The following is an 11676-nucleotide window of genomic DNA, read 5'->3' on the forward strand; positions in this document are numbered from 1 at the left end:
AGTGGATTTGAATGGAATGGCCTGGAGTGGCAAGGACTCGAATGGAATGGAAACGATTGGAATGGAATTGAAAGGAATAGAATGGAATGGTATCGGATGGAACTGAATGGAATGGAATGGAGTCGAATGGAATAGAAATGAAGGAAAGGGCATGGAATGCAATGGAATGGAATGGCCTCGAATGAAATGGAATCGAATAGAATAGAATTAAATGGAATGACATAGAATGGAATAGAATGGAATGGAACCGAATGGAATGGAATGGACTCGAATGGTATGGAATCGAATGGAAAGGAAATGAATGAAATGGAATCGAAAGGAATAGAAAGCAATGGAGTGTCATGGAGAGATATCGAATGGAATGGAATGGAGTCGAATGGAATGGACTGGAAGGTAATGGAATCGAATGGAATGGACAGGAGTGGAATGGACTCGAATGGAATGGAAACAAATGGAAACAAATTGAATGGAAGGGAATGAATGGAAAGGAATAGAATGCAATGGAATCGGATGGAAAAGAATGGAATGGAAAGGAGTCGAATAGAATAGGATAAAATGGAATGACATCGAACGGAATGGAATGGAACAGAATGGAATTAAATGGACTCGAATGGAATTGGCTCGAATGGAATAGAATCAAATGGAATGGGATCGAATGGAATAGAATAGACCAAAATGTAATGGACACAAATGGAATAGACTCAAATAATATGGACTCGAAAGTAATGGTCTCGAATGGAATTTATTTGAATAGAGTTGAATCGAATGGAAGGCAATAGTATGGAAAGGAATAGAATTGAATGGAATGGAGTCGAATGGAATGGACTGGAATAGAACGGACTCAAATATAATGGACTGCAATGTAATTGATTCGAATGCAATGGAATCGAATGGAATGTAAGCAAATGGAATGGAATGGAATGCAAAACAATGGAAGAGAATGGAAAGCAATTCAATGGAACAGAGTGGAATCGCGTGGAATGGAATAGAATGGAAGGGAATTGAATGGAAGGCAATCGATTGGAATGGACTGGAAAGGAATAGACTGGAATGTAATGGAATCGAATTGAAAGGAATCGAATAGAATGCAATAGATTGGAATGGACTGGAATGGAATGGACTCGAATGGAATCTACTGGAACTAAATGGAATCGAACGGATTGGAATCGAGCAGAACGGAATGTTATGTAATGGAATGGAATGGACTCGAATGGAATGGAGTCGAATGGAATGGAACAGAATGGAATGGGATCGAATGGAAAGGAATTGAATGGAATCGAAGGGAATAGAATGGAGTGGAGTGTAATGGAAATATTTCAAATGAAATGGAATGGAAAGGACTCAAATGGAATGGACTGGAATGTAATGGACTCGAATGTAATGGACTGGAGAGCAATGGAAACTAAAGGAATGGAAACGAATGGAATGGAATGAAATGAAATGGAATAAAATGGAATGAAATCGGATGGAACAGAATGGAAAGGAATGGAGTTGAATGGAATAGAATCGAAAGGAATGGCATCAAAAGGAATGGAATGGAATGAAGTGGAATGGACTCGAATGGAATGGAGTAGAACGGTAGAGAATCAAATGTAATGGCATCGAAAGGAATAGAATGGAATGGAATCGACCCAAATATAATAGACTCGAAAGGAATCAACTCAAATAGAATGGACTCGAAAGGAATGGTCTCGAATGGATTTTATTCAAATAGAATGGAATCGAATGGAATGCAATAGTATGGAATGGAATCGAGTGGAATGGAATAGAATGGAATGGACCGGAATGGAAAGGCCTGGAATAGAACGGACTCGAATGTAATGGATTGCAATGTAATTGATTGGAATGGAATGGAATTGAATGGGATGTAATCAAATGGAATGGAATGGAATGCAATGGAATACAATAGAATGGAATGAAATGGAAAGGAACGCAGTGGAATAGAGTGGAATGGAATCGAAAGGAATGGAATCCAATGGAATGGTATCTAATGGAATGGACTGGAATGGTATGGACTCGAATGGAATGGACTGGAACAAAATGGAAACAAACGGATTGGAATTGAAAAGAACCGAATGTAATCGAATGGAATGGAATAGAGTCAAATGGAATGGAATCGAAATTATTGGAATTGAATGCAATGGAATTGAATGGAATCGAAAGTAATATAATACAATGGAGTGTAATGGAAAGGTATTGAATGTAATGGAATGGAGTAGAATTGATATAAATGAAATGGACTGGAATGCAGTGGAATGAACACGAATGGAATGCAAACGAATGGAATGGAATGGAATGGAATGGAAAGGAATAGACTGGAATGGAATAGGATGGAATGGAATGAAATGGAATGGAGTCGAATGGAACAGAATCGAATGGAATTGCATCGAATGGAATGGACTGGAATGGAATGGAAATGACTCGAATGAAATGGAAACAAGTGGAATGGAATGGAATGGAATAGAATGGAATGGAATCGGATGGAAAGGAATGGAAAGGAATGGAATGGAGTCGAATGGAATAGAATCGAATGGAATGGAATGGAATGGACTCGAATGGAATGGACCCGAATGAAACAAAATCGAATGGAATGGCATGGAATGGAATGGAATGTAACGGAATGGAATGGAATTGTATGGAATGGAATGGAATGGAATGGAATGGAATAGAATGGGATGCAATGGACAGGAACGGAGTGGAGTTGAGAGAAAGAAATCAAATGGAAATGAATCGAATGAAATGGATTTGAATGGAAAGGAGTGTAATGGGATGGACTCGAATGGAATGGACTGGAACAAAACGGAATCATCCGGATTGGAATAGACAGGCACTGAATGGAATGGAATGGACTCGAATGGAATGGAATCGAATGGAATGGATTTGAATTGAATGCAAAGGAATAGAATGGAATGGAGTCTAATGGAAAGATATCGAATGGAAAGGATTGGAATGGAATGGACTCGAATGGAATGGACAGGAATGGAGTGGACACGAATGAAATGTAGTGGAATGCAATGTACCCCAATGGAATGGAAAAGAATGGAATGGAATGGAATGGAATGGAAAGGAATAGAATGGAATGGAATTGGATGAAATGGAAGGGAAAGGAATGGAGTCGAATGGAATAGAATCTAATGGAAAGTTATTGAATGGAATGGAATGGAATCGAATGGAATGGAATCGAATGTAATAGAATCGAATGGAATGGAAGTGAACGGAATCGAATGGAATGGAATGTTATGGAGTGATATGGAAAGATATAGAATGGAATGGAATGGAGTCGAAAGGAATGGACTGTAATGGAATGGACGCGAATGAAATGTCATGGAATGGAATGTACCCCAATGGAATGGAAACGAATGGAATGGAAAGGAATAGAATGGAATGGAATTGGATGGAATGCAAGGGAATGGAATGGAGTTGAATGGAATAGAATCGACTGGAAAGTCATTGAATGGAATGCAATGGAATCGAATGGAATGGAATCCAATGTAATAGAATCAAATGGAATGGAATTGAATGGAATCGAATGGAATGGAATGGTACAGAGTTTTATGGAAATATATAGAATGGAATGGAATGGACTCGAATGCAATGGACTGGAATGGAATGGACTCGAATGGAATGTACTAGAATGGAAAGGACTCGAATGGAATGGAAACGAATGGAAAGGAACGGAAGGGAAAGGAATAGAACAGAATGTAAATGGATGGAATTGAATGGAAAGGAATGGAGTCTAATGGAATGGACCCTAATGGAATGTATTCGAATGGAAAGGACAGGAGTGGAATGGAATCGAAGGCAGTGCAAACGAATAGAATGAAATGGAATGGAATGGAATGGAAAGGAATGGAATTGAAAGGAATACATTGGAATGGAATCTGATGGAATGGAATTAAATGAAATGGAGTCTAATGGAAAAGAATCAAGTTTAATGACATCAAATTAAATGGAATGGAATCGAATGGAATGGAATTGAATGGAATGGAATTGAATGGAATGGACTCTAATGGAATGGACTCGAATGGAATGGACTGCAACAAAGTGGAATCTAAAAGATTAGAATGGAACGGAACGAAATGGAATGGAATGGAATGGAATGGACTCGATTGGAACGTAGTCGAATGGAATGGGATTGATTGGAATGGAATCGAACACAACGAAATTGAACGGCTTTGAAAGGAATAGAATGGAATGGAGTGTAATGTAAAGATACCGAATGGAATGGAATGGACTCGAATGTTATGGACTTGAATGGAATTGACTCGAATGGAAAGGACTGCAGTGGAATGGACTGGAATGGAAGGGAAACGACTGGAATGGAATGCAATGGAATGGATTGGAATGGAATAGAATAGAATGGAATTGGATGGAAAGGAATGGAATGGAATGGAGTCAACAGTAATGTAATCAAATGAAATGGAATGAAATGGACTCGAATTGAATGGACTCAAATGGAATTGAATGGAATGGAATGTCATTGAATGGTATGGATTGGAATGGAATTGAATGGAATGGAATCGAATGGAATGGACTGGAATGGAATGGAATGGAATAGGAAATATACGAATGTAATGAATTGAAACGTAATTGATTCAAATGGAATGGACTCAAAAGGAATGGTCTTTAATGGAATTTATTCGAAAAGAATGGAATCGAATGGAATGCAGTAGTACGGAATGGAATGGAATGGAATGGAATAGGAAATATATGAATGTAATGAATTGAAACGTAATTGATTCGAATGGAATGGACTCAAATGGAAAGTAATTAAATGGAACAGAATGGAATGCAATGGAATGGAATACAATGGAATGCAATGGAATGGAACAGAGTGGAATTGAGTGGAATGGAATGGAATGGAATGGAATAGAATGGAATTAAATGGAATGGACAGGAACAAAATGGAAACAAAAGGACTGGAATCGAATGGAATGGAATTGACTCCAATGAAATGGAATTGAATGGAATGGAACTGAATGGAATGGAATTGAATGGAGTGGAATTGAATGGAATTGAAAAGAATAGAATGGAGTGGAATGTATTGGAAATATATCGAATGGAATGGAATGGAACGGACTCGAATGGAATGGACTGGAATATACCGGGCACGAATTTAATGGATTGTAGTGGAATGGACACGAATGGAATGGAAATGAAAGGAATACAAGGGAATGGAATTGAAAGGAATGGAATTCAATAGGATGTAATGGAATGGAATGGAATGGAGAGGAAGGGAATAGAATCAAATGGAATGGCATCAAATGGAATGGAATTTAATGGAATGGACTCGAATGGAAATGACTGGAACAAAATGGAATGGAAAGGGCTGGAATTGAATGGAATGGAATGGAATGGAAAGGAAGGGAATACAATGGAATGGAGTAGAATGGAATGGAACCAAATGGAAAGGAATCAAATGGAATGGAATTGAATTGAATCAAATAGAATAGAATGGAATGGAGAGTAATGGAAAGATACCGAATGGAATGGAATGGAATGGAATGGAATGGAATGGAATGGAATGGAATGGACTCGAATGGAATGGACTTGAATGGAATGTACTCGAATGTAATGGACTGGACTGGAATGGACTCAAAGGGAATGGAAAAGAATGGAATGGAAGGGAATGGAATTGAAAGGAATAGAATGGAACAGAATTGGATGAAATGGAATGGAATGGAATTGAGACGAATGGAATAGAATTGAATGGAATGGCATCAAAAGAATGGAATTCAATGAAATGGAGTGGACTCGAATGGAATAGAACAGAATGGAATGGTATCGAATGGAATGGAACAGAATGGAATGGAATGGAATGGAATGGAATGGAATGGAAGGGAATGGAATGGATTGGACCCAAATATAATGGACTAGAATGGAGTGGACTCAAATAGAATGGACTCGGAAGGAATGGTCTCAAATGGAATTTATTCGAATAGAATGGAATCGAAAGGAATGGATTCAAATGGAATGGACCGGAATGGAATGGACTGGAATAGAACAGACTTGACTGTAAGGGATTGCAATGTAACTGATTTGAATGGAACTGATTCAAATGTAATATAATCAAATGGAATGGAATGGTATGAAATGGAAGGGTGAAGAATGGAATGCAATAAAATGGAAGGGAGTGGAATCGAGTGGAATGGAATGGAATTGAGTGGAACAGAATCAAATGGAATGGACTGAAATGGAACAAACTGGAATAGAATGGACTAGAATAAAATGGAATCGAACGGATTGGATTCAAATGGATCAGAAGGGAATGGAATGGAATGGAATCGAATGGCATGGAGTCGAATGGAATGGAACTGAAAGGAATGGAAACAAATGGAATGGAGTTGAATGGAATTGAAAGAAAAGGATGCTATGGAGTGTAATGGAGAGATATCGAATGGAATGGAATGGAAGGGACTCGAAGGGAACGGAGTTGAAAGGAATGGAATCGAATGGAATCGAATTGAATAGAATTGAAAGGCATAGAATAGAATGGAATGGAATGGAAAGATATCGAATGGAAGGGAATGGAAAGGAATGGATTCAAATGGAATGGATTTGAATGGAATGGACTTGAACGGAAAGGACTGGAATGGAAAGGACTGCAATGATATGCACTGGAGTGGAATAGACGGGAATGGAAGGGAAACGAATGGAATGGAATGGAAAGGAATAGAATGGATTGAAATTGGATTTAACGGAATGGAATGGAATGGATTTCAATGGAAGAGAGTCGAATGGAATGGCATCAAATGGAATGTAAATGAATGTAATGGAAGGGGGTGCGCTCAAATGGAATGGATGGGAATGGAATAGAATAGAATGGAATGGCATTGAAAGGAACGGAATGGAATGGAATGGAATGGAATGGAATGGAAAGGAATGGAGTGGAATGGAATGGAGTGGACTGAAATGTTATGTACTCAAATGGAATGGACTCAAATAGAATGCACTCGAAAAGGATTGGTCTTGAATGAAATTTATTCGAATAGAATGGATTCGAATGCAATGCAATACTATGGAATCAAATAGAATGGAATAGAATTGAAAGGAATGTAATCAAACGGAATGGAAGGGAATGCAATGGAATGGAATAGAATGGAATGCAATGGAATGGAAAGGAGCAGAATCGAGTGTAATGGAATCGAATAGAATGGAATCAAATGGAATGTAATCAATTGGAATGTACGCGAATGTAATGGATTCGAATGGATTATACTGGAAAATAATGGAGTCAAACAGATTGGAATCTAACGGAACAGAATGGAATGGAATGGAATGGAATGGAATAGAATGGAATTGAATGGATTCGAAAGAATAGAATGGAATGCTGTGTAATGAAAAGAAATAGAATGGAATGGACTTGAATGGAATGTACTGGAATTGAATGGACTCGAATGGAATGGACTGGAGTGGAATAGACTCAAATGGAATGGAAAAAATGGAGTGGAATGGAGTAGAATGTGGTGGAATGGAATGAAAAGGAATAGAATGGAATGGAGTCGGATGCAATGGAATTGAATGGAAACGAAATTAATAGAATGGAATGGAGTGTAATGGAAACACATCAAATGGAATGGAATGGAATGGACACGAAAGGAATGGACTGGAATGGAGTGGCCTCGAATGGAATGGAAACGAATGGAATGGAGTGGAATGGAATGGAATGGAATGGGATGGAGTGTAATGGAAACATATCGATTGGAATGGAATGGAATGGAATGGAATGGACTCGAGAGTAATGGACTGGAATGGAATGGCCTCGAATGGAATGGAAATGAATGGAATCAAATGGAATGGAATGGAATGGAATGGAATGGAATGGAATGGAATCAAATGGAGTGGAATTGAAAAGAATAGAATGGAATGGAATCGGCTGGAACGGAATGGAATGGATGGAGTCGAATGGATTACAATCGAATGCAATGGCAACAAGTGGAATTGAATGGACTCGAAGGGAATAGAATTGAATGGAGTGGCATAGAATGGAATGGAATTGAATGGACCCAAGTGTAATGGACTCTAAAGGAAAGGACTCAAATAGAATGGACTGAAAATAAATGGCCTCGAATGGAATTTATACAAAAAGAATGGAATCGAATGGAATGCAATAATATAGAATGGAAACGACGGGAATGGAATCAAATGGAATGCACCGGAATGGAATGGACTGGTATAGATCGGACTCAAATGTAATGGATTGAAATGTAATTGATTCAAATGAAATGGAATCGAATGGAATGTAATCAAATGGAATGGAATGGAATGCAATGCGATCGAATAGAATGGAATGCAATGGAATGGAACGAAGTGCAATCGAGTGGAATGGAATCAAATGAAATGGAATCGAATTAAATGGACTGGAATGGAATGTTGTGGAATGGAATGAACTGGAGTGGAATGGACTCAAATGGAATGGAAACGAATGGAATGGCATGGAATGGAGTGGAACAGAATGGAATGGAAAGGAATAGCATGGAATGGAATGGAATGGAATGGAATCAAATGTAACGGAAAGGAAGGCAATGGAATGGAATAGAATGGAATGCAATGGAATGGAACGGAGTGAAATCGAATGTAATGGAATCGAATGGAATGGAATCGAATGGAATGGAATCGATTGGAATGGACTGGAATGTAATGGACTCGAATGGTTTGCACAAAAAAAATGGAATCGAACAGATTGGAATCGAACGGAACGGAATGGAATGGAATGGAATGAAATGGAATGGACTCCAATGTAATGGAGTCGAATGGAATGGAATGGAATGGAATGGAATGGAATGGAATATAATGGAATTGAATGAAATTGAAAGGAATATAATGGAATGGAAGGGAATGGAAAGAAATGGAATGGAATGGAATGGAATGGACATGAATGGAATGTACTGTAATAGAATGTACTCGAATGGAATGGACTGGAGTCGAATGGACTCGAATGGAATGTAAAGGAATGGAATGTAAAGGAATGGAATGGAATGGAATGGAATGGAAAGGAATAGAATGGAATGCAATCGGATTGAATGGAATGCAATGGAATGGAGTTGAATGGAATAGAATCGAATGGAATGGCATCAAATGGAATGGAATGGAATGAACTGGAATGTAATGGAATGTAAACAAATGTAATGGAGTTGAATGGAATGGACTCAAATATAATGAACTCAAAAGGAATGTCTCGAAAGGAATTCATTCGAATCGAATGGAATCGAATGGAATGCAATAGAAGGGAATCGAATGGAATGGAGTGCAGTTGAATGGAATGGAACGGAATGGAATGGACTGGAATAGAAAGGACTCGAATGTAATGGATTGCAATGTAATTGATTCGAATGGAATGCAATCAAATGTAATGTAATCAAATGGATTGGAAAGGAATGCAATGGAATGGAATAGAACGGAATTCAATGGAATGTGACGGAGTAGAATCGAGTGGAATGGAATCTAATGCAATGGAATCAAATGGAATGGATTCGAATGGAATGGACTGGAATGGAATGGACTCAAATGTAATGGACTTGAATAAAATGGAATCAAATGGATTGGAATCAAACAGAACGGAATGTAATGTAATGTAATGGAATGGAATGGAATGGAATGGAATGGAATGGAATGGAATGGAGTGGAAGGACTCTAATGGAATGGAAACGAATGTAATGGAATGGAATTGAATGCATTGGAATGGAATGAAATAGCATAGAATGGAATGGAGTTGGATGGAATGGAATGGAATGGAATGGAGTCAAAAGGAATAGAATCGAATGGAATGGCATTGAATGGAACAGAATGGAATGGAATGGAATGGAAAGAACTCGAATGGAATGGACTCAAATGGAAAAAAATGGAATGGAATGGCATGGAATGGAATGGAATAGAATGGAATGGAGCGGAATGGACCCAAAAGTAATGGACCCGAAAGGAATGGACTCAAATAGAATGGACTCGAGGGTAATGGTCTCGAATGGAATTTATTCAAAAAGAATGGAATCGAAAGGATTGCAATAGTGTGGAATGGAATCGAATGTAATGGAATCGAATGCAATAGACTGGAATTCAATGTACTGGAATAGAATGGACTCGAATGTAATGGATTGCAATGTAATTGATTCAAATGGAAAGGAATCGAATGGAATGTGATCAAGTGGAATAGAAGGGAAAGCAATGGAATGGAACAGAATGGAATGCAATGGAATGGAACAGAGTGAAATCGAGTGGAATGGAATAGAATGGAAAGGAATCAAATGGAATGGAATCGAATGTAATGGACTGGAATGGAATGGACTGGTAGAAAATGGAATCGAATGGATTGGAATCGAGCAGGACCAAATGGAATGGAATGGAATGTCCTCGAATGGAATGGACTGCAATGGAATGTACTGGAAAAAAATGGAATCGAATGGATTGGAATCGAGTGGAATGGAAGGGAATGAAATGGAATGGACTCGAATGGAATAGAGTTGAACGGAATGGAATGGAATGGAATGGAATGGAATGGAATAGAATGGAATCAAAAGGAATAAAATGGAATGGAGTGTAAAGGAAAGATATCGAATGGAATGGAATGCAATGGACCCGAATGGAATGGACTCAGATGAAATGGACTGGAGAGGAATGGTCTCAAATGTAATGGAAACGAATGTACTGGAATGGAATGGAATGGAATGGAAGGGAAAGGAATAGAAGGGAATGGAATCAGATGGAAGGGGATGGAATGGAATGGATTCAAATGGAATGGACTTGAATGGAATAGAATAGAATGGAATGTCATCGAACGGAATGGAAATGAAGGGAGTGTAATGGAAAGATATCAAATGGAATTTAATGGAATGGAATGGACTCGAATGGAATGTACTTCATTGAAATTTACTCGAATAGAATGGACTGGAGTGGAATGGACACGAATGGAGTGGAATGGAGTGGAATGGAATGGAATGGAAAGGAATAGAATGGAATGGAATCACATGGGTCAGAATGGAATGGAAAGGAGTCGAAAGGAATAGAATTGAATAGAATGGGATTGAATGGAATGGAATGGAATGGACTCGAATGGTATGGACTCGAATGGAATAGAATACAATGGAATGACATCGAAAGGAATGGAATTGAATGGAATGGATTGGAATGGAATGGAATGGCATGGAACCAAATGTAATGGACTCGAAAGGAATGCAATCAAATAGAATGGTCTCGAAAGGAATTGTCTCAAATGGAATGTATTCGAATAGAATGGAATCGAATGGAATGCAGTAGTATGGAATAGAGCCGAATGGAATGGAATCGAATGAAATGGACCGGAATGGAATGGACTGGAATAGAATGGACAAGAATGTAATGGATGGCAATGGAATTGATTGGAATGGAATGGAATCAAAAGGAATGTAAACAAATGAAATGGAATGGAATGCAATGGAAAGCAATAAAGTGGAATGCAATGTAATGGAACGTAGTGGAATCGAGTGGAATGGAATCGAATGGAATGGAATCGATTGGAAAGGAGTGGAATGGAATGGACTCGAATGGATAGGACTGGAACAAAATGTAATCGAATGCATTGGAATGGAACGGAACGGAATGGAATGGAATGGAATGAACTCGAGTGAAATGGAGTCGAATGGAATGGAACTGAATGGAATGGAATTGAATGCAATTGAAAGGAACAGCATGGAATGGAGTGTA

At 38.5% G+C, this 11676-nt stretch overlaps 3 annotated features.

Moving 5' to 3' along the window:
- Positions 3343 to 4339: an enhancer, noted in NCBI's record as "OCT4-NANOG hESC enhancer chr10:39144910-39145906 (GRCh37/hg19 assembly coordinates)". NCBI's record gives its function as "activates a minimal SCP1, AML or CMV promoter by ChIP-STARR-seq in naive H9 embryonic stem cells {active_cell/tissue: H9 hESC(naive)}" and the evidence as "EXISTENCE:reporter gene assay evidence [ECO:0000049][PMID:30033119]".
- Positions 7344 to 8067: an enhancer, noted in NCBI's record as "OCT4-NANOG hESC enhancer chr10:39148911-39149634 (GRCh37/hg19 assembly coordinates)". NCBI's record gives its function as "activates a minimal SCP1, AML or CMV promoter by ChIP-STARR-seq in primed H9 embryonic stem cells {active_cell/tissue: H9 hESC(primed)}" and the evidence as "EXISTENCE:reporter gene assay evidence [ECO:0000049][PMID:30033119]".
- Positions 8234 to 9118: an enhancer, noted in NCBI's record as "OCT4-NANOG hESC enhancer chr10:39149801-39150685 (GRCh37/hg19 assembly coordinates)". NCBI's record gives its function as "activates a minimal SCP1, AML or CMV promoter by ChIP-STARR-seq in primed H9 embryonic stem cells {active_cell/tissue: H9 hESC(primed)}" and the evidence as "EXISTENCE:reporter gene assay evidence [ECO:0000049][PMID:30033119]".

This window comes from Homo sapiens, chromosome 10 (assembly GCF_000001405.40).
Source record: "Homo sapiens chromosome 10, GRCh38.p14 Primary Assembly".
Classification (NCBI taxonomy): domain Eukaryota; kingdom Metazoa; phylum Chordata; class Mammalia; order Primates; family Hominidae; genus Homo; species Homo sapiens.